This window comes from Homo sapiens, chromosome 1 (assembly GCF_000001405.40).
Source record: "Homo sapiens chromosome 1, GRCh38.p14 Primary Assembly".
NCBI classification, from domain to species: Eukaryota; Metazoa; Chordata; class Mammalia; order Primates; family Hominidae; genus Homo; species Homo sapiens.
Window position 1 is genome coordinate 156,750,463 of NC_000001.11, and position 26,832 is coordinate 156,777,294.

Consider the following 26,832-nt stretch of genomic DNA (forward strand, 5'->3'; position numbering starts at 1 on the left):
AGGTGCTGGGGTTGTGGGGGGGGCTCATACTGGCTGGCTGAATTAACCACATGGCAGAGACTGGGCCGTTCTGGCGGAAGATCTTCACATCTGAGCGGGGGAAGGAACTTGGGCTCCCCTAACCCCTACTAAGAGGCAGTCTGTACTGGACTTCCTAATACCACAAGGGAATCTGCCACCTCAATCCTAAATTTGAGTTGGCAGCATATGGAGGAATATTTCTGTGGAGCTGAGGGCTGATGGGTTCTGACGGATAATTTCCAAGCCAGGTAGATCCCCTTACGCCGCCCCCAACGATCCTTCGACCTTTCCAACTTTAGACCTCTTACAGATGCCCCAAACCAAAGTTTCCTAGAAGCGAACTCCGCCTCCATCTAGCCCTCTCCGGGTTGGGATCCTTCTTAACCATTTATCCACGAAGAGAAGAGTTTGAATTAGGGGCGACAATCCACGAACAAACTAGGGGTCTCTAAGGGGGTCTTAAAGGGGGTGGCGGCGGCGCCTGGGGTCGGGGGAAGGAATAACACGACTGGCCCAAAGCCAGACTTCGCGCTCGAAACCTCTGGGAGTATGGGGGCTGGGGGCGGAACTGAGCACGCGGAGCTGGGGGCCGGGAAGTGACCGGCGCCCTCGGATCCCCACGCCGTGAACACGCCACTACGCGCGGACGCCGTGCCCGCCAGGTGTCTACCCCCACCCCCGCCCGCCTCCACCATTATATAACCGGCGGGTGGGCTTGGAAGCGACAGAGAAAGAGCCGGAGACCTACAAGCCCCCTGCCCCCACCTCTGCCCGCTCCGCGCGGAGCGCTCGTGCCCTTCCCGGTGTTATGCAACCCAAGCCCGCAGGGGGTTAGGGGGCGGCGGGCCGCGCTGCTCACCCGGGCCGGCCAGTGTGGGTAGCCCTTCATCTTGGCGAACACCAGGTCCCCGCATTTGTACTCCTTCTGCCGGTTGGATCGCGACATGGCGGGGCTCCGGGCGCCCCGGGCTCCGCGCCGGGCCGGGAAGCGCGAGCCCAAGTTTGCGCGTGCGGCGGTGGCGGCGCCGCTCCGCTCCGGCCCTCGCGCGGCCCCCGCCTCGATGGTGGCCCCCGGCCCGAGCTCCGGCGCGGCCACGGCGTCTCCGCCCGCGCGCCGCACGGACGGGGCGGGCGCGGATCGGGGCAAGGCTCCGGCGCGGTGGGTGCGCGCTCGTGCAGTTGTTTGTGTTTGAAATTCAATTGCTCCCTCCTCTGCGCGAGGCCTCTTCCTCCACCCCCCGCCCGGTCCCCACTCCTCCTCCTCCCTCCTCCCGGACCCACTCCTCCTCCTCCCCCCGCCCCCCAACCTCGCGCTCCCTCCCGCGGCGGTTTGATGCGTGCAGCTTCTTGACGCCCAGGGCCTGCCACGGCCCAACGCCCAACCCGGAGCCGCCTGACGGCGCGTGGCGGCACAGGCATAAGGAGCCGATCGCCGAGCACGCCGAGCAGGCTTTGTGTGCCCGCGGTCGGTGGGTGCCCGCCCGCCCGGGAGGAGCTGGCGCCCGGCTGGACGGAGCGGCCCCCGCCCTTCCCCCGACTCCGCGGAGCGCTCACCACCGCGGCCCCAGCGCAGTTAAGTGTGGACGTCTGTACACGGTTTCCGCCTGCCCTCTGCTCCATCTCAATCCACAAATATTTACTGGGCACCCGCGGTTCTTGGCAGCGTGCTAGGCGCCGAGGGCGAGAGGAGTGGGCGCCGTGCCGCTCCGCGCACTGGGGTCCTCTCTGGACCTCGCCGTGCTTACCGTATGGGGGGTGGCCCTGGAAACGTCGGGGATTTGAGCCCTACGTCCGCCTTTGCTAAGGAGGAAACGCTTGAGTTTGGTAGCCAGGAGATGGCCAAGGAGTTGAGGCACAAATTGGCCACCTTCCGGGTGCATTCGATCTCGTTTCTCTAAGCTACTGTCTTGCCAAGGAGACTTGGACTCAACGGCTAGCTAACCCCGCAAAGATGAGCTCAGTTCTAGTCGGTTACGGTAGAATGCCAATAAACCCAACCCCTTCAGTAAACTGTGAAGACCGAGGGGCCAGGTGCTACCTCTTTTCGGAGGTGGGGAGGGGGGTCTGGGAAGGCTTCACAAAGGTGATGACTGAACTGGGCATTAAAGAATGAGTAGAATTTTGCCAAATTCTGCGAGACTACATTTTGGCCTAGGTTATATGCTAAGAAGTGATAGAACCAAAACTTGAACTCAGGTCTCTTCCATTAAGCTAAATAAGACTTTATTGTAATTACATCTTTGATTTGCTGTCACTGTATTTGCCCACATTCCAGACACCTATGTTCCCTTAGAAATAAGATATTTGGATCTTATGTTACGGCATATACACGTCCTTAAAATTTAGCAACAAAATATGCTAGGTTTGAATAGGTAAAACATATGCATGTTTTTCTTCCCACGTTTCCTGATCCTATTTCAAAGCATATGCAAAGTCTCCCTGCAAGGAAGTCCAGGATGTAGCCAAAAGTTCCAAACCCACATCCTACCCTGCTGTTCATCTGTCCTGAGAACTTGGACAACCTCCTGAACTCTAAGCCTCAGTTTCCTCTGCTGTAAGATGGGATAACATGACTGCCCTGGTAACTAACAACAGAGGCATAGAATGGCTGCTTGTCACTAGGGGATGCCTGCAGTTGTTCCCAGAGTCCTGCATGACACTTGGCTGTCCTTATGTCCATGGCAATATGTTTCACTATTTTTGCCTTTATAACAGTGTGGCCTCTCAACCATAGTTCCCCTTGTGATAAGAGGCACACCAGGCTGCTGGCACAGGGGGGCATTCTGGAAGGTCCTGTTGCAAGAAAACAGCCAAGCAGGCCCTCAGCCACAAGCTTGTCAATTTGTTTCCATAGCAAATTCAAACTTGTTGCAACAGAGCAACTAGGTTCTAGTTGGTGTTTACTCTACAATGCATTCCATTTTGAAATGCAGTCAGTGTAATAGTCCAGATTCTATCAGGCTAAATCTTTTTGTTAGGAGAGAGTCTTGTCACAAGTTCTTGAAGATGTTTCAAGAATAAGTCTCCAGCATCAGAACAGGTTTCCTTTAACTATCTAGGTCATATTTTATTCTATCTATCTATCTGAGACAGAATCTCGCTCTGTTGCCCAGGCTGGAGTGCAGTGGCCAATCTCGGCTCACTGCAACCTCTGCCTCCCGGGTTCAAGCGATTCTCCTGCCTCAGCCTCCTGAGTAGCTGGGATTACAGGTGTGTGCCACCACGCCCGGCTAATTTTTGTATTTTTAGTAGAGACGGGGTTTCACCATGTTGGTCAGCCTGGTTTCGAACTCCTGATGTCGTAATCTGCCCACTTTGGGCCCTCCAAAGTGCTGGGGTTACAGGCGTGAGCCACCGTGTCCGGCCTAGGTCGTTATTATAAACATGCACAGTTTCAGTGCAACAAACATGGTTTTTTGTTTGTTTGTTTAATTGTTGTTTTGTTTTTTGGAGACGGAGTCTCGCTCTGTTCCCCGGGCTACAGTGCAATGGTGCAATCTCGGCTCACTGCAACCTCCGCCTCCCAGGATCAAGCGATTCTCCTGCCCCAGCCTCCTGAGTAGCTGGGATTACAGGCACGCGTCACCACGCCAGGCTAATTTTTGTATTTTTAGTAGAGACGGGGTTTCACCATGTTAGTCAGGCTGGTCTCGAACTCCTGACCTTGTCATCCACCTGCCTTGGCCTCCCAAAGTGCTGGGATTATAGGCGTGAGCAACCGCGCCCGGCCAACAAACACGCTTTTAAACTATTTTCCAATTTGGTACACTCAATTTAGTAAAAAGCAAGAGCCCTTCCCATTTCTCCACTTTGTTGCATCATAATAGCCAGCGTGGAAGTGGAAATGGGCTTCTAAATTCTTGTTGCAACAAAATCTCTTGGGCCTCTCATTCAGTCTACCATGCAGATGCTGGTTGCAATAATACAACCAGGGTTCCTTTTGTTGCAGTAATCTCCTAGGCGTTGGTTGCAATTTAATATTCAAGTGCTCCTTACAGTAACGTCATCAACCAACTCGCAGCTGCCCCTAACAACTAAGCCAAGAGCTGCAGAAGGTCAGTTACACAGGCGGGCATAAGCCTGCTTCCCCTGGGATTCACATCTAACCTAGTGCTTTGCAGACGTTAACGTGCAATCAAATCACCTGGGAATCCCTTTTTAAAAGAGTGTAGATTCTAGGCCGGGCATGGTGGCTCACGCCTGTAATCCCAGCACTTCGGGAGGCCGAGGCAGGTGGATCACCTGAGGTCAGGAGTTCAAGACCAGCCTGGCCAACATGGTAAAACCCCGTCTCTACTAAAAATACAAAATAAAAATTAACTGGGTGTGTGGCAGGCGCCTGTAATCCCAGCTACTTGGGAGGCTGAGGCAGGAAAATCACTTGAACCCAGGAGGTGGAGGTTGCAGTGAGCTGAGATCGCACCATTGCACTCCAGCCTGGGCAACAAGAGTGAACCTCCGTCTCAAAAACAAAACAAAACAAAAAGTAGATTCTAATTCAGGAGGTTCGGAGTGTGTGCATTTCTAATGCGCTCCAAGGTGCTGTTGCTGCTGCTTAGAACCATCATTTCAGTAGTAAGGGTCTAAAACAACACGACTCACAAGACCTCAACCCACCAGCCCAGGTGGAAACCAATTCACAAACGTCTCAGTGAAATGATTCTGTTGATGCTGGTGCGCACTTCTACATTTATGTGGGGAAGGAGGTCAGGACAGAAGTTGAGGGACTTGGGACCCCAAAGCAGATAAGGTTGTGGGGTGCAGATCTGGCTCTAGGATCCTGAAGCGAGTCTCTGGAGGAGGTCAGGCAAAATGGTGGCAAACTTTTATTTCTGTACGGATCAAGAAGGAGCTGACAGCAGCGGAGAGATGGAGTTTACAGTAATGGGGGAAGGGGTGGTCTAGTGGAAAGAAGCTGGTTTGGCATGTCAAGGGACTTGGGTTTGATTCCCACTTGCTGTTTACTGGCTTTAGGGCTTTGGGTAAATGACTTAACTAGAATTTCTAAACAAAATTTTCTTGCACTGTGAAAAATGAGAATACAAAACCTCACCTGCTTATTATTAGGTTCAAAGGAAATGTCCACTTCCTCCCCTTTAACTCCCAACGGAGTCGAGGGTTTTGGCCCTCAACACTGTGTGACCTACTCACATCACGATTTCTTGGCCCAAGTTACACCCTCTGTAAAGTGGAAGAGAGAAGAATAGTTAGATTAGACCAGTGGCTTTGACAACTGTGCCTCCATTGCCTACTTCCACCCACGCCACCCAAAATAAAAGAGCAGCCCTGCCTTTGTGCATTCTGTGTGGAGTCAGAGTGGTTGAGAATATGGGCTGTAGAGATAACAGTCTGAGTCCTGCCACCACCATGGACACTTTGTGTGTAACTTTAGGAAAGACACTTAACTACCCTGAGCCTCAGTTTCATGTCCAGAAAACGGGGTTGTGATTATGATTGAATGAATGAATGCACTGAAGTTCTTTAGGCCAGGGCGAGGTGGCTCACGCTTGTAATCCCAGCTTTTTGGGAGGCCAAGGTGGGCAGATCACTTGAAGTCAGGAGTTCGAGACCAGCCTAGCCAACATGGGGAAACCCCATCTCTACTAAAAAATACAAAAATTAGCTGGGTGTGGTGGCGGGCCCCTGTAATCCCAGCTACTCAGAAGGCTGAGGTGGGAGAATCGCCTGAACCCAGGAGGTGGAGATTGCAGTGAGCTGAGATCATGCCACTGCACTCCAGCCTGGACGACAGAGTGAGACTAGGTCTCAATAAATAAATAAATAAATAAATAAAGTTCTTTGCACAGAGCCTGGGACATAATAAGTGCTTAATAAAATTGGTTATCACTGTATTTATTGTTATATTAGATTTTGTGTAATATTTGGTTTGAAAAAAATGGATTCCTTCGCAGTAAGCTTCTGAGGTACTGGCATTATGCCCTGACAAAGCTGGCAATACCACAGTGGGTGAGGGTGTTTAGGATGGAGTTGGGAGTCAGCTTACTTAGGTTTGAATCCCAGCTATACCATTTGCCAACTGTGTGACCTGCAGCAAGTTACTCAACCTTTCTGTTTCTCAGTTTTCTTATCTGTAAAGGGGGAATGTTGATAAACCAGTTAATATATATGATATATGTAAAATGCTTGGAGCAGTGCCTGGCACATGGTAGGTACTATTAGTTACCATCTGTTAGCTATTAGCTGTTAGTATTGTAGTATTAGCTATTTTTCTTTAAAATGCCTATGTTTTCTAACTCCTCTGTATATAGATACAACACAATTAAAAAGTTATTTTTTTAAAAAGGTGGTCTTTTTTTTTTTTTTTTTTTGAGATAGAGTCTCACTCTGTTGCCCAGGTGAGTGCAGTGGCGCAATCTCAGCTCACTGCAACCTCCACCTCCTGGGTTTAAGTGATTCTCCCACCACGGCCTCCTGAGTAGCTGGGATTACAGTTGTACGCCACCACGCCCATTTAATTTTTGTATTTTTAGTAGAGACAGAGTTTTGCCATGTTGGCCAGGCTGGTCTCGAACTCCTGACCTCAGGTGATCCACCTCCCTCAGCCTCCCAAAGTGCTGGGATTATAGGCATGAGCCACCGTGCCCAGCTTGGTTCTGTTTTTTTGAAAAAGGGAAAATTATAAGAGTTATTCTCTAAGTCTCTACTGGCCAACACATGTGGACATTTAAATTTAAATTAAGGCCGGATGTGGTGGCTCACGCCTGTAATCCCAGCACTTTGGGAGGCCGAGGTAGGCGATCATGAGGTCAGAAGTTGAAGACCAGCCTGACCAACATGGTGAAACCCCGTCTCTACTAAAAAAAATGCAAAAATTAGCTGGGCATGGAGGCGCATGCCTGTAATCCTAGCTACTCGGGAGGCTGGGGCAGGAGAATCGCTTGAACCCGGGAGGCGGAGGTTGCAGTGAGCCGAGATCACGCCACTGCACTCCAGCCTGGGCGACAGGGCAAGACTCCGTCTCAAAAAATATATATAAATAAAATAAAATAAATAAATTTAAATTAAAGGCCGGGTGTGGTGGCTCACACCTGTAATCCCAGCACTTTGGGAAGCCAAAGCGGGTGGATCACTTGAGGCCAGGAGTTCAAGACCAGCCTGGCCAACATGGTGAAACCCCACGTCTACTAAAAATACAAAAATTAGCTGGGTGTGGTTGAGCACAACTGTAGTCCCAGATACTTCGGAGGCTGAGGCCCGATAATCACTTGAGCCTGGGAGGCAGAGGTTGCAACGAGCCAAGATCATGACACTGCACTCCAGCCTGGGAGCAAGACTCTGTCTCAAAAAAAAAAAAAAAAAGTTCAATTTGACTAAAATTAAATCCAGTTAAATATTCAGTTTCTTAGTTGTACTGGCCACATTGCAAGTGTTCAGTGGCCTCATATGGCTAGTATGGTGTAAATACAGAACATTTCCATCACTGCAGTAAGTTCTATTGGACACCTTTGTTCCAGGGCAGTGGCTGTTGACTGGAGCTGCACATTGGAGTCACTTGAAGAATGAAAAGATATGGCTGGGTGCGGTGGCTCACGCCTGTTATCCCAGCACTTTGGGAGGCTGAGGTGGGTGGATCATCTGAGGTCAGGAGTTCGAGACCAGCCTGACCAACATGGTGAAACCCCATCTCTACTAAAAATTCAAAAATTAGCTGGGCGTGGTGGCGCACATCTGTAATCCTAGCTAGTCAGAAGGCTGAGAAAGGAGAATCACTTGAACCCAGGAAGCAGAGGTTGCAGTGAGCCGAGATTGCGCCACTGCACTCCAGCCTGGGCGACAAAGTGAGACTCCATCTCAAAAAATAAATAGGCCAGGCGCGGTGGCTCACGCCTGTAATTCCAGCACTCTGGGAGGCTGAGGCAGGTGGATCATGAGGTCAGGAGATCGAGACCATCCTGGCTAACACGGTGAAACTCCATCTGTACTAAAAATACAAAAAACATTCACTGGGCATGGTGGCGGGCACCTGTAGTCCCAGCTACTTGGCAGGCTGAGGCAGGAGAATGGCGTGAACCCAGGAGGCGGAGCTTGCAGTGAGCTGAGATCGCGCCACTGCACTCCAGCCTGGGTGACAGAGCGAGACTCCGTCTCAAAAAAAAAAATAAATAAATAAATAAATAAAAAAAATTAGCCGGGTGTGGTGGTGGGTGCCTGTAATCCCAGCTACTCAGGAGGCTGAGGCAGGAGAATTACTTGAACCCAGGAAGCAGAGGTTGCAGTGAGCTGAGATCGCGCCACTGCACTCCAGCCTGGGCGACAGAGCAAGACTCCCATCTCAACAACAACAACAAAAATGCCTGAGTCAGACACCCCCTAGAGTTAGATTTAATTGCCATAAAAGGATTTGTCCAGGAGAAAGACATGAAGCAGAGGTGAACTTCTAGAAGCTTTATCTGGCAGCAGTGCAGAGGTGGAAGGGCCTGAAGTTGCTAAGCCAGGAGAGAGAGGACAGCAGCGGTCCTGGCTGAGTGACGTGTGTACCTGCATGGGGAAGGGACTGTGGAGGCTCCTGGGGAGTTGTATTCCTGGGTTCTTTTTTCAGCTCTTTCCAAGAATTATGGTGACAATGAATGGCTCCTTGGACCTCAAAGGAGAGATCTTCAACCTTAGTAGGGCAGGAAGAGGTCAAAGCACCTGAAGATCTTCATGAGTTCCAGACCACCATCTTTAAAATCTGGTTTAACGTTTTGTGTAGGTAGTACATGCCAATGATGCAAACTTTAGGAGGTAAAAGGAGTGATTTACCAAAAAGTCATCTCCATGTTACCCCTCTCCCTTCCAACCCAGTTTTCTCCTTAGAGGCAGAAATATTGTGGGTATTCTTCCAGTAACATTCTTTCTAATTTTCAAGCAAATGCAGAGATAACTATTTCCTTTACACAAATTGTGACACACCGTATACACTTTGCTCTTTTTTACTCAGCAATATATTTTGAGACTCCATATTTGTACATGAAGATCCATCTCATACCCCATTCTTTTTTTTTTTTTTTTTTTTGAGATGGAGTCTCACTCTGTCACCCAGGCTGGAGTGCAGTGGCGCGTTTTCCGCTCACTGCAACCTCCGCCTCCCAGGTTCAAGTGATTCTCCTGTCTCAGCCTCCTGAGTAGCTGGAATTACAGGCGCACGCCACCATGCCCGGCTCATTTTTGTATTTTTAGTAGAGATGGGGTTTCACCTTGTTGGTCAGGCTGGTCTCAAACTCCTGACCTTGTGATCCGCCCACCTCACTCTCCCAAATTGCTGGGATTACAGGCATGAGCCACCGTGCCCAGTCACCCCATTCATTTTAATGGTAATAGTTTACAATGTTTCTGTGTCATAAATTGTTAGTTTACTTGCATCCCAGGACTAGAACTATTACAAATTATTTAATCAGTCCCCTGTTGATGGGCATTTAGGTTGTTCCTTTTGATAACACAAATAATGCAATAGTAAATAATACTGGACACATTTCATCTTATTCAGGAGTGAGGATCTCTCACCATTTTTCTTTCCACTTTGCAAAGTGAAAAAGATAAAAGGCCATTCATAGCAGTATTGTTTGCAGGAGTTTGCTGACAAGCAGTACTGGAAGTAACTTTGCTGCCTACAGACAGGAGTGCCATAGGTTAGATGAGAAGCCCACCATTCTGTACAGCCACAGCCCCCAGGTGTGTCTGCATTCCTTTGGTCCCTGGAGATTAAAGTAATGTAATGTGGGGCCAGAGTCAGGCCAACAGATTTGCCATGGCTCTGAGCATGCCTGGCCACACTCTTCAGCCCTTTCCTGCAAGGATGTTGCTGGTGAGACACTGGGGACAGAGGCCTGGGGAGGAGAGGACTCAGGGAGGCGTGTGGGTGAGGGGGGGCCAAGTCCTCTTTTCTCGACTAATAATTAGATTGAGCCCTGCCTCTCAGGGTAGAGGTAGCCTCCCCACATGCTGGGCAGCAGCTCTGGCTAGGCTGGCGGACGCTGTGGTTCTGTAGAGGACAGATGGCAGGGTGGGGACTGAAAGGCTGTTTCTGCCACCACATTGCCTATGGGCTCAGGGCTTCACTCATTTACCCGGTCATTCATTTATTCACTCTCACATATATTCCTTGGGCATTGTTAGGTGTGTGCCAGGCCCTGGATGAGTGTTGGGGGATGGGAGGAGTACTGAAGATGACAATGACAGGTGGCTGGCCAGGACGATAAAGAGGCTCATCCATGAGTTGTTGGCTCTTCAGCCCTGGGGCCTGTCAGTCACCCTGACACACCCTGATCCTGCTCTGACTTCATCATTCCAGTTTGTAAGCTTTTATTTTTCTCCAAATTTTATCCTTCCCTGCCCTCTCCTTGCTTTTTCTCCCCCAGCCTTTTTTTTTTTTTCTGTATCTTTGAAATTCAAAGTATACGTGGAAACCAAAATAAGATTATATCAAGAGGCCAGGTGCAGTGGCGCATGCCTGTAATCTCAGCACTTTGAGCGGCTGAGGCAGGCAGATTGCTTGAGCTCAGGAGTTCAAGACCTGGGCTACATGGCAAAAATGTTTCTACAAAAAAAATACAGGCAGGGATCACGCCTGTAATCCCAGCACATTGGGAAGTGGAGGTTGGGGGGGATCAGCTGAGGTCACGGGTTCGAGACCAGCCTGGCTAACTTGGTGAACCCCTGTCTCTACTAAAAATACAAAAATTAGCTGGGCGTGGTGGAGCGTGCCTGTAATCCCAGCTACTTGAGAGGCTGAGGCAGAATTGCTTGAACATAGGAGGTGGAGGTTGCAGTGAGCTGAGATTGTGCCACTGTACTCCAGACTGGGCAACAAAGTGAGACTCTGTCTCCAAAAAATAAAAAATAAGGCCGGGCGCAGTAGCTCACGCCTGTAATCCCAGCACTTTGGGAGGCTGAGGCCAGCGGATCATCTGAGGTCAGGAGTTCAAGACCAGTCTGGCCAACATGGTAAAACCCCATCTCTACTAAAAATATAAAAACTAGCCCGGCGTGGTGGTGGACGCCTGTAATCCCAGCTACTTGGGAGGCTGAGGCAGGAGAATTGCTTGAACCCAGGAGACAGAGGTTGCAGTGAGCCGACACAGTGCCACTGCACTCCAGCCTTGGCGACAGAGTGAGACTCTGTCTCAAAACAAAACAAAACAAAAAACAAAAAAAAAACCATAAAAATAAATAAATTAAAAAAGGCCGGGCATGGTGGCTCACGCCTGTAATCCCAGCACTTTGGGAGGCTGAGGCGGGCGGATCTTGAGGTCAAGAGATCGAGACCATCCTGGCCAACATGGTGAAACCCCTGTCTCTACTAAAAATACAAAAATTAGCCGGGCGTGGTGGCATGCGCCTATAGTCCCAGCTACTCGGGAGGCTGAGGCAGGAGAATCACTTGAACCTGGGAGGTGGAGGTTGCAGTGAGACGAAATTGCGCCACTGCACTCCAGCCTGGCAACAGTCTCCATCTCAAAAAAAAAAAAATTAATTAATTAAAAAAAAAACACAAAAAATACAAAAATTAGCCGGGCGTGGTGGCAATGTGCCTGTAAGGTCCCAGCTACTCCTGAGGCTGAGGTGGGAGGATTGCTTGAGCTGGGGAGGTCGAGGCTGCAGTGAGCCCAGATAGCACCACTGCACTCCAGCCTGGATGACAGAGTGAGATCTTGAATTAAGGGAAAAAAAAATTATATCAAGACACTGAAAAAAACTCTTGCAAATCAATAAAAGGATAAACAATAGGAAAACAAACAACATGAACAACAGTTTCATATAAGGAAAAAAAAAAAAACAGGCCGAGCATGGTGGCTCATGCCTATAATCCTGTAATCCGAGCACTTTGGGAGGCTGAGACAGGAGGATTGCTTGACCTCAGGAGATCAAGATGAGCCTTGTCAAGAGGCTGGTAGCCTCTTTAGCGAGACCTTGTCTCTACTAAAAATAAAAAAATTTAGCTGGGCAGAGTGGCCTGTTTGTTTTATCTCTATTACTCTTATTAGAGTCTCTCCTCAATATCTAACCCTTGGTTCCTGCTCATGTATAAGAGCAGTGGGCTAGAAAAGCCACTTTGTACCTCTGGGTACCTGGTTGGGGCTTGTCATACTAAAAACTTTACATCATGGCCAGGCGCGGTGGCTCATGCCTGTAATCCCAGCACTTTGGGAGGCTGAGGTAGTCGGATCACCTGAGGTCAGGAGTTCGAGACCAGCCTGACCAACATGGAGAAACTCCATCTCTACTAAAAATACAAAAAATTAGCCAGGTGTGGTGGCACATGCCTGTAATCCCAGCTACTCGGGAGGCTGAGGCAGGAGAATTGCTTGAACCCGGGAGGCGGAGGTTGTGGTGAGCCGAGATCGCGCCATTGCACTCCAGCCTGGGCAACAAGAGCGAAACTCCGTCTCAAAAAAAAAAAACCAAAAAAAAACTTTCCATCAGGGTGATCTGGTTGGGAGTTTGTAGGGGGAATCCCTGGTATCAGACTCTAAACATTGATTCTCAGCATTCCTCAAGGCCACCTTGGTTCTCAGCTCTCTTAGATGTGCCCAGCCAATTACCTATGGTGCATCTCTTTTCCACCTTCCAAAATGTTGTTACTGTGTTGTCTTCTCTTCCGAACTCTCCATCATTGTGGGTTTAAGTTTTTTCAAAATGATCTTTAATGCCTTTACAAAAAAATCTCTTTACTGATGTTTCAGTAGGGTTTTAGGAGGGAAACAAATATGTTTAATCATTTCATTCTCTCTCTTTTTTTTTTTTGTTTGAGATGGAGTCTCTCTCTGTTGCCAGGCTGGACTGCAGTGGCGCGATCTCAGCTCACTGCAACCTCTGCCTCCTGCATTCAAGTGATTCTCCTGCTTCAGAAGCCTCCTGAGTAGCTGGGACTACAGGTGTGTGCCACCGCGCCCAGCTAATTTTTGTATTTTTAGTAGAGACAGGGTTTCATCATGTTGGCCAGGCTGGCCTCGATCTCTTGACCTTGGGATCCACCCGCCTCAGCCTCCCAAAGTGCTGGGATTAGAGGTGTGAGCCACCATGTCCGGCCCTCATTCTGTTTTACTGGAAAACTTTTATTATGATTACTTTCGAAAGGCTCATAGATGTACCAGTTACAAATTTCTTTTTTTTTTTTTTTGAGACGGAGTCTTGCTCTGTTGCCCAGGCTGGAGTGCAGTGGCGCGATCTTGGCTGACTGCAGCCTCTGCCTCCCGCATTCAAGCAATTCTCCTGCCTTAGCCTCCCGAGTAGCTGGGACTACAGGTGCACGCCACCACGCCCAGCTAACTTTTTTGTATTTTTAGTAGAGACGGGGTTTCACCGTGTTGCCCAGGCTGGTCTCGAACTCCTGAGCTCAGGCAATCCACCTGCCTTGGCCTCCCAAAGTGTTAGGATTACAGGCATGAGCTACCGCGCCTGGCCTAAATTTCTATTCTTTAAAATTTTTACTGAGACAGGGTCATGCTCTGTCACCCAGGCTGGAGTGCAGTGGTGCGATCTCAGCTCACTGCAGCCTCAACCTCGCAGGCTCAAGCGATCCTCCTCTTTCAGCCCTTCCCAATGAGGTGGGACTACAGGTGTGTGCCACCATGCCCATGCCCGGCTTTTTTTCTGTTTTTGTTTGTTTGTTTGTTTGTTTTTGTAGAGACAAGGTTTCACCACGCCTGGTCTCCAACTCTTAGACTCAAGGGCTTCTCCTACCTTGGCCTCCTTAAGTGCTGGGATTACAGGCGTGAGCCACCGTACATAGTTAAAAATTTCTTTTTTTTTCTTTTCTTTTGAGATGGAGTTTTGCTCTTGTCACCCAGGCTGGAGTGCAGTGGCATGATCTCTGCTCACTGAAACCTCCACCTCCCGGGTTCAAGCGATTCTCCTGCCTCAGCCTCCTGAGTAGCTGCTTTTTGTATTTTTAGTAGAGACAGGGTTTCTCCATGTTGGGCAGGCTGGTCTGGAACTCCTGACCTCAGGGGATCCGCCCGCCTCAGCCTCCCAAAGTGCTGGGATTACAGGCGTGAGCCACTGCGCCTGGCCTTGCCCAGTTACAAATTTCTACAGGTATAAAAGGGTACATAATGAGAAATAAATCCCCTTTCCTTCACTTTCATGAAGTTTCTATTATCAATTTCTTGCTTGAAAACACTTTTTGAGGATTTATACCCAATAAGGTGAATCATTAATTTTCACAGTAAGGGGATCCTCGCTTAGAAAACATTTGTTAAACACAGTCTGGCCAACATGGTGAAACCCCGTCTCTACTAAAAAATACAAAAATTAGCTGGGCATGGCGGTGCACACCTGTAATCCCAGCTACTCGGGAGGCTGAGGCACAAGAATCACTTGAAGCTGGGAGGTGGAGGTTGCGGTGAGCCAAATTTGCGCCACTGCACTCCAGCATGGGCGACAGTACAAGACTCTATCTCCAAAAAAAAAAAAAAAGAAGAAGAAAGAAAACATTTGAGACAGGTCCCTGTCCTTTAGGGGCTTCTCTGCAAGCTGGCAAGATGTGTTGACAAACAACAAGGACAATCATTTCTCTTAGTTCTAAGGCATTTCACTGTGTGTTAGTATCAGGCATTTCTCACAGAAGTAGGACAGGGCTCTGTAATACTTTATCCGCGCCCCCCCCGCCCTTTTTTTTTTTTTTGAGACGGAGTTTCACTCTTGTTGCCCAGGCTGGAGTGCAATGGCGTGATCTTGGCTCACCACAACCTCCGCCTCCCGGGTTCAAGCGATTCTCCTGCCTCAGCCCCCTGAGTAGCTGGGATTACAGGCGCCCGCCACCGCACCCGGCTAATTTTTATATTTTTAGTAGAGACGGGGTTTCTCCATGTTGGTCAGGCTGGTCTCGAAGTCCCAATCTCAGGTGATCTGCCCGCCTCGGCCTCCCAAAATGCTTGGATTATAGGCGTGAGCCACCGCACCCGACCTTCTTTATCCATTTTTCTTTCTTTCTTTCTTTCTCTTTCTTTCTTTCCTTTCTTTCCTTCTTTCCTTCTTTCTTTCTTTCTTTTTTTTTTTTTTTTTTTTGAGATGGAGTCTTGCACACTTGCCTGGGCTGGAATGCAGTGGCGTGATCTCGGCTTACTGCAACCTCTGCCTCCCGGGTTCAAACGATTCTCCTGCCTCAGCCTCACGAGTAGCTGAGCTTACAGGCGCCCGCCACCACACCATGCTAATTTTTGTATTTTTAGTAGAGACGGGGTTTCACCATCTTGGCCAGGCTGGTCTCAAACTCCTGACCTCGTGATTCACCAGCCTCTGCCTCTCAAAGTGCTGGGATTACAAGCGTGAGCCACCACACCCGGCCTACTTTATCCATTTTTCAAAGGAGGAAAGTGAGACTCAGAGAAGAGAAGTGACCGCACAGTCACCAGAGAGTACGTTGGGGAACCTAGATTTGAAAGCAGATTTTAGAAATCAACATTGTGCAAGGCATACTAGCTGTGAGGTAGGACTTGATGGTCTAGTTTCTCAATGTGGTCCTCAGTGCCTGGTTTGCAACTAACTGAGTAGTTTCTTACAGATCCAGGCTTCCAGGCCCAACCCACATCTATTGAATAGGAATCTCTTAGGCTAGATTTCAGGAATTTATATTTTTCAGAAGCTTTCCTAGTGATGCTTATGCACATTAAAGTTTGAGCACAGATTGCTCTAAGGAGCCTTCATGGAGAAGGCAGCATGGAGTTTGTCTCTGAAGGGTGGAGAGGTTGGGGAGGAGGTGCCCCATATCAGGCTCGTCTGATAGAGGATTCAAGCTTGGGCCTTTCACTGTCTCTCTGCATTGTGGTCATCATTGTCCCTCCTCATCAACCTTTCCAATTTTCTCTTCAGCCTCCTCCCAAAACCTCAACAGCCTTTTCTCTGGCTTCGCTCAACAGAATTTTCTGCAATCTGGGAACAGGGAGGTGGTGCCCACACAGAGATGAATTAGCATGTAAAGGACACACACATACAGGGCAGACAAGTAGAGGGCACTCAGTCACAGGCAGACAGGAAGGGGGCAGAGATGGGTAAACAAGAAAAGGATACAAAATCACAAGCGGACAGGGAAGGACTGGCGCACAGCAGATCATCACAAGCAGACATAAATGGGCTGGACAAGGACTCCTATAAACATGGATGGAAAGGAAGGGCACTTACAGAGACAGATGTAAGAAAGTCACATACAAAGCCATAAGAAGCAGCACTCACAGACGTAAAGGAATGTAAAGGACATCTGCAAATGGATAGGTGGGAGGCACAGCCAGGTAGGACGGACTCAAGTGATTCCTCAGAACGGTCGCCCTTTACCCCACTGAGCTGAGAAGGGATTAACCTCAAGTACCTGGCCCGGATTGTCAGAGCCTTGCCCATCTTTGTCTCACTGGTTGCTGCAGAGGGAGGCCAGGCCCCAGGCTCCAGGGTAAGGTGTGTTCCTGGATGTGCACCCCGATCCTGGTGAGGGAGATCACCTCCTCCCTTTTACGTCACATTTATTTCAACTCTTAGATGCTTATTATTAGACCTGCAGCCTCGCTTCTTTCTGGCTTGCAGCCCAATTTCGTACGGGTCCCTTGGGCCCTTGCTCTTTTTGGGATGTTTTATTCTAATTCCCAGTCCCAGCCGACTGGGAAGCTTCACCAGTTCATTTACAGATCACTTTGCCTTTAAGCAATTTTCCTCAATCCGCCAGCTTCCCAGACTCCCTTTCGTTCCCGACATCACTTGCAGTTTCTAAGAGCATCATATCTCCCAGAAATCTTAGTGGCCAAGGGGCTACCCTAGGGAACTTCAAGTACCGAAATGCTCTCCTGTCCGTCTCAGTGACTGCCGTGGTGACCGGTGGGGCTTGTAGTCACCTCGGAATTGTTAGGCGACGAAAAAAACTACTCACCCCAGGTGTCCCTGCGTCAGAGGCGGGTTTCTCTCCTGTCTCCCTTTGCTCGCCCCTAAATCCTTCCTCGGACTCCAACTCCCGCCGTGCCTTGCGCTGAGATCCCTGCGGCAAAGAACCGGGCTGTGTCCAAAGTGTTCTCTGGAAGTTGTAGTTCCTGTATTGGTGAGGCAAGGAGGAGGCGGAGTGACTCGGCGGCCATTAGCTGTGTGTAGTTGCCCGGGACTAGGAGCTTAAGTGAAGAGGTACGCCTTGTTCGGTGGAAATCAGCCGTAGCCATGAGTTTCTGCCGGGGCTAGCCCTAGAGTACGGAGCAGGCGGACTTTTCGGTTCCCCGCCCCGCCAGGTGGCGGGGCCTACTAGGCCTCCGGGCATCCCCGGTCTCAAGTAGGCCTCATCTGCCGGCAAGGGCGCCCGAAACGCGGGAGGCGCCATGTCGCTGGTTGCTTACGCCAGCAGCGATGAGAGCGAGCCGGATGAGGCTGAGCCCGAGCCGGAGGAAGAGGAGGCGGTGGCTCCTACATCTGGGCCCGCTTTAGGGGGCTTGTTCGCTTCTCTCCCTGCGCCCAAGGGTCCGGCCTTGCTGCCTCCGCCCCCTCAGATGCTGGCGCCAGCCTTTCCCCCGCCGCTGTTGCTTCCCCCACCCACCGGAGACCCCAGGCTTCAGCCTCCTCCCCCCTTGCCCTTCGGCCTGGGAGGCTTCCCCCCACCTCCAGGCGTGAGCCCGGCTGAAGCGGCGGGAGTTGGGGAGGGACTGGGATTGGGGTTGCCCTCGCCCCGAGGCCCTGGCCTCAATCTGCCCCCTCCAATTGGCGGTGCCGGTCCCCCGCTGGGGCTTCCCAAGCCAAAGAAGAGGAAAGAGCCCGTGAAGATCGCGGCGCCGGAGTTGCATAAGGGAGATGTGAGTATCCGGGGAAGGCACCCCCAAACTGTCCATCGGGTTTGAGTCGGCTGTAGGAGGGACATGTGGAGATTTCAGAACTCCTTCCTACAAACGCATCCGTGGATTCAAGGCCACTGGAATCCTCTTATAATGCGATTAATTGAGCTGAAGTTGGTCAACTTGGGGGAGTTTGGGTGTTTGCCCATGTGGGTTTCCTGAAGCTGGGCTTGCCTGCAGAAGGCCACATGTCATCATCACCTGGTACTGACAGGCCTAGGGACACTTGGATCCGCTCCCCCTTCTTTGCATCTTCACTTCAGTCCGGCTTTTTCCCCTTTCCTCCTACTGAGAACAGGATGAAATCTGGCACCTGAAGAATGACAGGAGACAGGGCTCCTGAACCTTTGCCGAACATCTGGGACAAATCTTTTCCTTGCCTCTGAACTCAAAAGCATCAGGCCTGGAGGAAAATGATAGCAATCTTGGTTTCTATTTTTGAGGGGAGTTAGAGGAGAAATCGAATATTTGTTTAGTGCAGATCATTTGCCGTTCATTGGTCCTTTCTTTCAATTATTACAGAGCTCTGGGAGGTAACATACTATTGTTTTACAGATGAGAAACAGGTGTCCAGCATGCACGATTTTACCTGGTAACAGGGCAGAGTGAAGATTAAGATTAAGGTTCAGTCTCTCTGAACCTCAGATCTGTGCCTCATATTCATCATTTAGCTATGGTCAAAGCTAGGTGAGTTAGGATGCTTGGGTACTGTTTCTAGAAGAGGCAGCGAGTCTTACCTGTTTCTATATGTGACAGTGGAAAAATACAAGGCTCCTGGAGTGAGGGCTTTGGAGATAAAGGAGAGATTAAGCCTTGGAGCAGGAACTGCTTAGAATTACTTACCGGAGAGAAATTTATTGCCCTTGCTTTTCTTCAGACTCCCAGCTCTGCCTAGGAGCCATTTCCATTCGTTGAACTTGCTGTTCCTTAAATTTCTTCTCTCAGATATCCTAATGTTCTCTCCCTCACCTCACTTGGCCTAAAAGGCCTGTTTTCGGTGAGGACTTCCCTAGCCTACTATGTATTTAAATTGCAACCTCCTATCACCTCCTCCTCCCCATTGCTCTTTGTTTTATTTTTCTCCATTGCACTTAACATCATCTGTCCTCCCACTAGTATATAAACTCCATGAAGGCAGGGATTAAAAAAAAAATTCACTGCTATAACCCTAGTACTTAAAACAGTGCCTGGCACATACTGAATACTCCCATGGATATTTTGTGAGTGAAAGAACTCCAATATGGATTTTTCATGGAAGGAGTTTCCAGAGTTTCCCTCCCAATCTTGTTTGAAACTTTCTTCCTTTTTTTTTTAAATTTTTTTTATTTTTATTTTTTTTGAGACGGAGTCTCCCTCTGTAGCCCAGGCTGCAGTGCAGTGGCACGATCTCTGCTCACTGCAAGCTCCGCCTCCCGGGTTCACGCCATTCTCCTGCCTCAGCCTCTCGAGTAGCTGGGACTACAGGCGCCCGCCGCCACGCCTGGCTAATTTTTTTGTGTTTTTAGTAGAGACGGGGTTTCACCATGTTAGCCAGGATGGTCTCGATCTCCTGACCTCGTGATCCACCCGCCTCAGCCTCCCAAAGTGCTGGGATTACAGGCGTGAGCCGCAGCACCCGGCCACTTTCTTCCATTTTATTTCCCCCTTCTTTCACACCTGAGAGTCTCTCATCCTAAGTCTAGGATCCAAAAAAAAAAAGCCTTTTATTGCTCCATGGAAACTTACTTTGGCTTTGATTTAACCTGGAACAAGGAAAGATCCCTGAATGAGACAAATAAAAACAGTCTACATGGACATGGAAAGCTCATTTCTAGCTCTGTGAAGGTAGCATTATAGAAAGTTGGGAGAGGCCGTAGAATCTGCCATTTGGGTTGGCTGAGGTGGCAGAAAACTCTGAAGACTAACACTCCCTCCTTTGTAAGCATTCACTAAATTTCTGAGGTGAACAGTAACATGGCTAATTAAAGTCCTAGCCCTTGCTGGTTGAGTTTCCCATTTTTGTTCTGTTCAAGTTGGTCTTTTGGTTCTCGGAACACATAATTCCTGCAGAAAGGTAGCCTAAGAATGTTCAAGATGGTCAGGTGAGGGTAACCTTTGTCTTTATTTATCTTTTGAGATGTAGTTTCGCTCCTGTTGCCCAGGCTGGAGTGCAATGGCACAATCTCAGCTCACCGCAACCTCCGCCTCCAGGGTTCAAGCGATTCTCCTGCATCAGCCTCCCGAGTAGCTGGGATTACAGGCATGTGCCACCACGCCCAGCTAATTTTGTATTTTTGGTAGAGACTGGGGTTTCTCCATGTTGGTCAGGCAGGTCTTCAACTCCTGACCTCAGGTGATCTGACCACCTTGGCCTCCCAAAGTGCCGGGATTACAGGTGTGAGCCACCACGCCAGCCAACCATTGTCTTTAAAAGAGCTGTGCCCCCTCCAGATGTAAGCCCCTCCAGTTCTGAGCTCTATGTCTTACACTTAGGCTCTTAGTACGCATTTGAAAGAATGAATTAGGTTTCCTTAAGTAAATAATTTCCCTTTAGAGTTTGGTGCTGAAGTAGAAGTAATTAGAAGTAATTAACTCTCAACCATTTCGTTCAATTGATATTGAGCTCTTTCTTTGTACCTGGAGCTAAGAATGTACAGTAGTGAACATGATAGCCCCAGCCCGAAAGGAGCTTATGATCTACTGGAGAAAACACAGAAGGAAATAGATTTTAGGACAAGGCAGAGAAGGACCGTGATAAGCTGGTGCCATTGGAGTATACCTAGTGGGCATTAGTCCAGTCTTGGGAGGTTGGGGAGCCCTCTGGGGGGAGATGTCTAAGCAGAGATAAGGCTGAAGAAAGGGTAGTATGGGAGCAGCACAGCAGAGGAAACAATGTATAAAAGCTTGGAGGACAGAGAGGGACAGTGCTTTCAGGGAACCTCAGGTGAGTAAAGCACAGTGGCTGGAGCATTTGAGAGGGTGGGGAGTGCTGAGAGAATGGGGCTAGAGAGAGAGAGGCTCAGGCCAGATAATGGGCCTTGGATGCCATGCTAGGGTCTTTCTACCTCATTTTGGGGTTGTGAAGACCCCTTAAAGGCAAGAATTCTCTGATCACAGAGTGGTGAGAACCTTGGAGGGAGCAAGACTGGCAGAATGTGAGAGGCTGGTGGCCTGGATGATGAACTAGGGGATGGAGAGAACTGGAGCATCGAGGTATATTTAGGAGGGGGAAGTGATAAGACTGGAGGATTGATTAGATGTTACACTAAGGAGAGGATTCAAGATTGACCCCCACTGCATTTGCCTCAGGCAGCTGGGGGGTGGTGTTGCCATTTATTGAGGGAATACGGGAGGCAGAGCAGATTGGGGGTTAGTTAGATTTCATTTGTTGCAAGTGTTAGAAGCCAACTCAAGCTAGTTTAAATGTTTTTTTTTTTTCTTCTTTTTTAAATAAATAGAGACGTTGTCTCGCTACATTGCCCAGGCTGGTCTTGAACTCTTGAGCTCAAGCAGCCCTCCTGCCTTGGCCTCTCAAAGTACTGGGATTACAGATGTGAGCCACCACGCCTAGCCTTAAATGGTAATGCATCATAAATATACTGTGGTACCTCAGAAGGGACCTGCATCAGGAACCTGAGATCTGTTGGGGATCTCTACACAGCTGTTCTTTGCACATCTGATTCATTTTTTAAAAAATTTGTTTTATTTTTAAATTTTAATATATTTATTTATTTATTTGTTTTGAGACCAGATTATGGGACTGGTCAATTTTTGTATTTTTAGTAGAGATGGGGTTTCACCATGTTGCCAAGGCTGGTCTCAAACTCCTGGGCTCAACTGATCTGCCTGCCTCAGCCTCCCAAAGTGCTGGGATTACAGGCGTGAGCCACTGCTTCTGGCCTTGATTCATTATTTCTCTGCGGATTGGCTTCTTAACCTTTGTTGTAGGTGAAGGATGGCCACCCACACCTTGGTTTTGATTTCTTTCCTTTTAGAGATCAGTCCAGATTGAACTATGATGGTAGTCTCAATTCTGGTTTTCCTGGAGTGAGAATTTGGTTGATTTGATTTGGGTCATATTATCCAATCATCTGCAGTCAGCGTAGTACCAAATTCTCCCTCCAGGCGTATTCCAAAATTAAATTCAGTCAGCTTTTGATTTTTGTGGGGAATTAGGAATGATCCATAGAATGGATAATCGTCCTTTCTTTTTCCCTTCTTGCTGTGACCCAAGCTACACTGGTTGATTTCATAGGCTCAGGGGAGGCAGACTTCTCCTAGCATATGAGAAACCAAAATCAGAAGAATAAGTCTGCTGGAAGAGTTTTCTATCATTTATAAAGTGTATTCCAAAGCACACAGAAATTTCAGGGTTATCTGGATTAGTATTTACCACCACTTTCAGATTGTTTACCAAGATAGTAGAAAATTTGAAGCTCTGAGACAGATTTCACTAATTTTTGTCACTTCTAGTAACCAAATAAGAATTGCCTGCAGTGGATTTAGCTAAGTTTTAGCCCTAGCTAAAGGGAAGGGAGAGTGTGCTTATCTGTGTGGGGCACCTGCTTAATGTCTGAACTGTGCTGGGCACTTACTTTAGTTTATAAAGAAGAAAACAGGAGTTTAGAGAACAGAAGTGATTTGCCTGAAAACACAGTTTGTGAGTAGCTGCAATTGTATTTGAACCTGGATGAGATTTGTTGTGTTTATCGGGGTGTCTATGGAAAACATGGAAGAGCCTGGGGCAGCCAGAAAGCAGAAAGCAATACAAATGAGGAGTGCAAAAATGGGAGTGAAAACGGTATCCTAGCAGCAGGTACTTGAGACTTAAGAGTGAAAAAGGGTTGATGAATGTAGCAAATGGGGATAACAGTAGTAATGATTAGGGTTTGGAGCCCCGGGGTGTGGTGCTTAGGGGGCGTCTGTTCTTGGGTTCTTATTTCCTCCTTGGCTTTTAGTCCTGGAAGCTAGTGATTGCTTTTTGGAGAGGGAGTGTCTCAGAGCCAGAGCCTGGGAAGATAAGAGAGAGGCCGCCGTGGGGAATGAGGCTCTGATAGATTAGCAGATCCCACTGGACCTAGCTTAATGGAAAATGTCTGTTTCCGTTCTTGCTCAGCAGTCTCGGGGTATGTGTGTCTTGTCACTCTTGGCAGCTGGAACAGAGAGGACAGTGGTGGCCATTGAGGCTCAGGTTCTCGTGAGGCCAAGAAGAAATACAATACTTTCTTATTAACAGACTCAACAGTTTGTGCCTCAAAACCAATGTGTGCCTATTGTGGCCCGGGACACTCTCAGCCCTGGATGCTCCGGTGTTTCTAGCATTGTCCTTCTTTCTTGATCTAATGGCACAGACCCACTCAGATGGCCATTTGCTGGTCTTTAGCACTCTCTAGAAGTTGACTCCACAACCTCCATTTAATATACTCTTGAGGAAAACAGTTTGGCAGTTCCTCAAAAGGTTAAACAAACAGAATGATGATCCACCAATTTCACTTCTAGGTGAAAAGAATCAAAAGTGGAGATTCAAACAGATACTTGTACACCAGTGTTCATAGTAGCAATACTCCCAGTAGCCAAAGGTGGCAACAACCCAAGTGTTCATCCACAAATGAATAGGTAAAATGTGGTATGTGCACACGTTAGGATATTATTCAACCTGAAAAAGGAATGAAATTCCGATACGTGCTACAACATGGATAGACCTTGAAGACATTATGCTAAGTAAAGTAAGCCAGTCACAAAAGGACAAATATTTTATAGTTGCGCTTATATGAGGTATCTAGAAAAGTCAAATTCATAGAGATGGAAAGTGGAATAGCAGTTACCAGGGGCTGGGGGGAGGTGGGGATAAAGAGTTACTGTTTAATGGGTGCGGAGTTTCTTTCTTTTTTTGAGTCACCTTTTTTTTTTTTTTTTTTTTTTTTTTTTTTTTTTTTGAGACAGAGTCTCTCTGTGTTGCCCAGGCTGGAGTGCAGTGGCTCAATCTTGGCTCACTGCAACCTCCGCCTCCCGGGTTCAAGCAATTCTCCTGCCTCAGCCTCCTGAGTAGCTGGGATTAAGGCGCCCGCCACTACACCCAGCTAATTTTTGTATCTTTAGTAGAGACGGGGTTTCACCATATTGGTCAGGCTGGTCTCGAACCCCTGACCTCGTGATCCGCCCGTCTCGGGCTCCCAAAGTGCTGGGATTACAGGCATGAGCCACTGTGCCCAGCCCTTTTTCTTTTCTTTTTTCTTTTTTTTTCAATGAAACAGGGTCTCAGTCTGTTGCCCAGGCTGGAATGTTGTGTCTCGATTATGGCTTACTGCAGCCTCTACCTCCTGGGCTCAAGCAACCCTGCTGCCTCAGTCTCCGCAGTAGCTGGGACTACAGTAATGTGCCACTGTACCTGGCTATGTTTTTAAACAATTTTTTTGCTGGGCATGGTGGCTCACGCCTGTAAACCCCGCACTTTGGGAGGCCGAGGCTGGTGGATCACGAGGTCAATAGTTCAAGACCAGCCTGGCCAAGATGGTGAAACCCCATCTCTACTAAAAATATAAAAATTAGCTGGGCGTGGTGGCGCATACCTGTAATCCCAGCTACTTGGGAAGCTGAGGCAGAGAATTGCTTGAACCCGGAAGGCAGAGGTTGCAGTGAGCCAAGATCGTGCCACTGCCCTCCAGCCTGGGTGACAGAGCAAGACTCTGTCTCAAAAAAAAAAAAAAAAGGCCGGGTGCAGTGGCTCATGCCTGTAATCCCAGCACTTTGGGAGGCTGAGGTGGGCGGATCACGAGGTCAGGAGATCGAGAGCATCCTGGCTAACACGGTGAAACCCCATCTCTACTAAAAATACAAAAAATTAGCCAAGCGTGGTGGCGGGTGCCTGTAGTCCCAGCTACTCGGGAGGCTGAGGCAGGAGAATGGTGTGAACCCGGGAGGTGGAGCTTGCAGTGAGCCGAGATTGCGCCACTGCACTCCAGCCTGGGCTGCAGAGGGAGGCTCCATCTCAAAAAAAAAATTGTTTTTGTGTGGAGATGGGGGTCTTACTATGTTATCTGGGCTGGCCTCAGACCCCTGGGCTCAAGTGATCCTCCTGCCTCATTTTTCTTTCTTTTGTTTTTTTTTTTTGGAGACAGGGTCCTGCTCTGTTGCCCAGCCTGGAGTGTAGTGGCACAATCTTAGCTTACTTCAGCCTTGGCCTCCTTGGCTCAAGCAATCCTCCTACCTCAGCCTTCTGAGTAGCTGGGATTACAGGCACATGGCCGATTTAAAATTTTTTTTTTTTTTTTGAGACAGAGTCTCGCTCTGTCGCCCAGGCTGGAGTGCAGTGGTGCAATCTCAGCTCACTGCAACCGCCGCCTCCCGGGTTCAAGTGATTCTCCTGCCTCAGCCTCCCGAGTAGCTGGGACTACCGGCACCCGCCACCACCCCCGGCTAATTTTTGTATTTTTAGTAGAGATGGGGTTTCACCATATTGGCCAGGCTGGTCTCGAACTCCTGATCTTGTGATCTGCCCACCTCGGCCTCCCAAAGTGCTGGGATCACAGGCGTGAGCCACCGCACCCGGCTAATTTTTAAAATTTTTTGGTAGAGATGAGGTCTCTCTACAGTGCCCAGACTTGTCTCAAAACTCCTGGGCTCAAGCAGTCCTCCCATCTGGGCCTCCCCAAATGCTGGGATTATAGGGGTGAACCACTGTGCCTGGCCATCCCCGCCTTGCCTCATTTTTGAAGTTGTCATTTTAGTGTTCTGTTTCAGGGAGTCTGTCATTTATGGTGTGTCATGAGATGATTCATAATAGGGGTCGGTAGAAGTTTTATATAAGATGTTCGGGCTGGGTGTGCAGTGGCTCATGCCTGCAATCCCAACACTTTGGGAGGCCAAGGCAGGTGGATTGCTTGAGGACAGGAATTTGAGATCAGCCTGCGCAACAGAGTGAGACCCTGCCTTTTATCTCTACAAAAAAATTTTAAAAATAAAATAACTGAGCATGGTGGGCAAGTGCCTGTAGTCCCAGCTACCTGGGAGGCTGAGGCAGGAAGATTGCTTGAGCCCAGGAGTTTGAGGTTACAGTGAGCTGTAATTGCGCCACTCTACTCCAGCCTGGGCACAACAGAGCAAGACCATGTCTCAAGGGAAAAAGATGTTCAAAGAGAAGAATGATTGTGAGTAGCCATAGCAATCCTCTAAATCTAGAAATAATAGACTGTTCCGAAGTCTTTATAGAGGTTTTTTTTTTGTGTGTGTGCTTTTAAACTATAAACTCAGGTTGTCAGTATAATGGAAACAATTTGTGACATTTACAGAGAAATTGAATTTTCTTTCCACAGTGGATCTGGCCTTCAATTCTATTAGCTGTGGAGCAGTTTGCCTATTACAGTCTTACAGTAGCCACTTTTTGTTTTTCAAAGGATCTGAAAAATAAGAATATGCTTGTATAGTTTTATAAATGTAATCATCTTAAATTTGGGTAAAATTTGTTTATTTCAGATTATTGCCATTGGACCTGTTGCCTATGATGTCAAAGTTTAAACGTATTTGGGGAATCCATGAAAACCTTATATACCCCATAGTGAGGTTGTTCTGTGTGGTCTGCCAGAAAGGAGATAAGTCTTCATGGTCAAAAGACGAGAGATGGTGAGGAGTCTGTAAGGAGCAATGAGAGTTAGTTTAGAACAGAAAGAAAAGGTAGAAAATGCTTAGGTGCCAGGTGCTTAAGTCTTTTCTTGGGTGAGTTTGATATCTTGGCAAACCAGAGAAAATAATAATTTTTGAACTTTGTTTAGAATTTTAGTTTGTATCATTTTCACTGGCAGTAGCTCCTGTGGTTGTGACATGGGTAAGTACTATTTGCACCTTAGGCTTGGGGAAGTTAAATAGCGGGATCCCTTAGCCAGTGAGGGGCAGAGCTGAGACTCAAACCAGTGCTTCTGATTTTGTGCTTCATGCTCTCTCAGCTGTGTCGTGTGGGATCTAGTGAGTGTGAATCTCAGACCTGGACAGCAGACAGCTCAGTTTGGTGTTCCCGCAAAAGCACGGGCACTGGAACTGGTTC

At 48.5% G+C, this 26,832-nt stretch overlaps 2 protein-coding genes across 10 annotated transcripts in view, besides 14 other annotated features; one reads left to right on the forward strand and one right to left on the reverse strand.

Annotated features, from left to right (window-relative positions):
* Positions 1-16,904, reverse strand: part of HDGF (heparin binding growth factor) — a 25,260-nt gene extending 8,356 nt beyond the window's left edge. For 3 of the 9 annotated variants that reach the window (NR_135008.2, NM_001126050.2, NM_001319186.2), the window contains exon 1: positions 1,767-1,986. Coding sequence is in view for 4 of the 9 variants with exons in the window: in NM_001126050.2 (NP_001119522.1) it covers positions 1,767-1,901 (135 nt within the window). In the remaining 5 variants the exon portion in view is untranslated. 9 annotated transcript variants of the gene reach the window in all.
* Positions 814-1,588: an enhancer, noted in NCBI's record as "H3K27ac hESC enhancer chr1:156721068-156721842 (GRCh37/hg19 assembly coordinates)". NCBI's record gives its function as "activates a minimal SCP1, AML or CMV promoter by ChIP-STARR-seq in naive H9 embryonic stem cells {active_cell/tissue: H9 hESC(naive)}" and the evidence as "EXISTENCE:reporter gene assay evidence [ECO:0000049][PMID:30033119]".
* Positions 814-1,687: a biological region, named in NCBI's record as "H3K27ac hESC enhancer GRCh37_chr1:156721068-156721842".
* Positions 828-887: a silencer, noted in NCBI's record as "silent region_1435". NCBI's record gives its function as "represses an Ori minimal core promoter by ATAC-STARR-seq in GM12878 lymphoblastoid cells {active_cell/tissue: GM12878}" and the evidence as "EXISTENCE:reporter gene assay evidence [ECO:0000049][PMID:35858748]".
* Positions 1,068-1,137: a silencer, noted in NCBI's record as "silent region_1436". NCBI's record gives its function as "represses an Ori minimal core promoter by ATAC-STARR-seq in GM12878 lymphoblastoid cells {active_cell/tissue: GM12878}" and the evidence as "EXISTENCE:reporter gene assay evidence [ECO:0000049][PMID:35858748]".
* Positions 1,248-1,687: a silencer, noted in NCBI's record as "silent region_1437". NCBI's record gives its function as "represses an Ori minimal core promoter by ATAC-STARR-seq in GM12878 lymphoblastoid cells {active_cell/tissue: GM12878}" and the evidence as "EXISTENCE:reporter gene assay evidence [ECO:0000049][PMID:35858748]".
* Positions 9,403-9,936: an enhancer, noted in NCBI's record as "H3K27ac-H3K4me1 hESC enhancer chr1:156729657-156730190 (GRCh37/hg19 assembly coordinates)". NCBI's record gives its function as "activates a minimal SCP1, AML or CMV promoter by ChIP-STARR-seq in naive H9 embryonic stem cells {active_cell/tissue: H9 hESC(naive)}" and the evidence as "EXISTENCE:reporter gene assay evidence [ECO:0000049][PMID:30033119]".
* Positions 9,937-10,469: an enhancer, noted in NCBI's record as "H3K27ac-H3K4me1 hESC enhancer chr1:156730191-156730723 (GRCh37/hg19 assembly coordinates)". NCBI's record gives its function as "activates a minimal SCP1, AML or CMV promoter by ChIP-STARR-seq in naive H9 embryonic stem cells {active_cell/tissue: H9 hESC(naive)}" and the evidence as "EXISTENCE:reporter gene assay evidence [ECO:0000049][PMID:30033119]".
* Positions 10,095-10,389: a silencer, noted in NCBI's record as "tiled region #4951; K562 Repressive DNase matched - State 8:EnhW". NCBI's record gives its function as "represses a minimal TATA promoter and a strong SV40 promoter by Sharpr-MPRA in K562 cells {active_cell/tissue: K562}" and the evidence as "EXISTENCE:reporter gene assay evidence [ECO:0000049][PMID:27701403]".
* Positions 15,846-16,472: an enhancer, noted in NCBI's record as "H3K27ac hESC enhancer chr1:156736100-156736726 (GRCh37/hg19 assembly coordinates)". NCBI's record gives its function as "activates a minimal SCP1, AML or CMV promoter by ChIP-STARR-seq in primed H9 embryonic stem cells {active_cell/tissue: H9 hESC(primed)}" and the evidence as "EXISTENCE:reporter gene assay evidence [ECO:0000049][PMID:30033119]".
* Positions 16,460-16,509: an enhancer, noted in NCBI's record as "active region_1879". NCBI's record gives its function as "activates an Ori minimal core promoter by ATAC-STARR-seq in GM12878 lymphoblastoid cells {active_cell/tissue: GM12878}" and the evidence as "EXISTENCE:reporter gene assay evidence [ECO:0000049][PMID:35858748]".
* Positions 16,460-17,439: a biological region, named in NCBI's record as "OCT4-NANOG-H3K27ac hESC enhancer GRCh37_chr1:156736727-156737352".
* Positions 16,473-17,098: an enhancer, noted in NCBI's record as "OCT4-NANOG-H3K27ac hESC enhancer chr1:156736727-156737352 (GRCh37/hg19 assembly coordinates)". NCBI's record gives its function as "activates a minimal SCP1, AML or CMV promoter by ChIP-STARR-seq in primed H9 embryonic stem cells {active_cell/tissue: H9 hESC(primed)}" and the evidence as "EXISTENCE:reporter gene assay evidence [ECO:0000049][PMID:30033119]".
* Positions 16,550-16,739: an enhancer, noted in NCBI's record as "active region_1880". NCBI's record gives its function as "activates an Ori minimal core promoter by ATAC-STARR-seq in GM12878 lymphoblastoid cells {active_cell/tissue: GM12878}" and the evidence as "EXISTENCE:reporter gene assay evidence [ECO:0000049][PMID:35858748]".
* Positions 16,840-17,439: an enhancer, noted in NCBI's record as "active region_1881". NCBI's record gives its function as "activates an Ori minimal core promoter by ATAC-STARR-seq in GM12878 lymphoblastoid cells {active_cell/tissue: GM12878}" and the evidence as "EXISTENCE:reporter gene assay evidence [ECO:0000049][PMID:35858748]".
* The window catches only part of PRCC (proline rich mitotic checkpoint control factor), a 33,281-nt gene continuing 23,521 nt past the window's right edge, over positions 17,073-26,832 (forward strand). Inside the window, exon 1 of the mRNA NM_005973.5 lies at positions 17,073-17,777. Coding sequence (NP_005964.3) covers positions 17,310-17,777 — 468 coding nt within the window. The 5' untranslated portion in view covers positions 17,073-17,309. The remainder of the gene's footprint in view (positions 17,778-26,832) is intronic.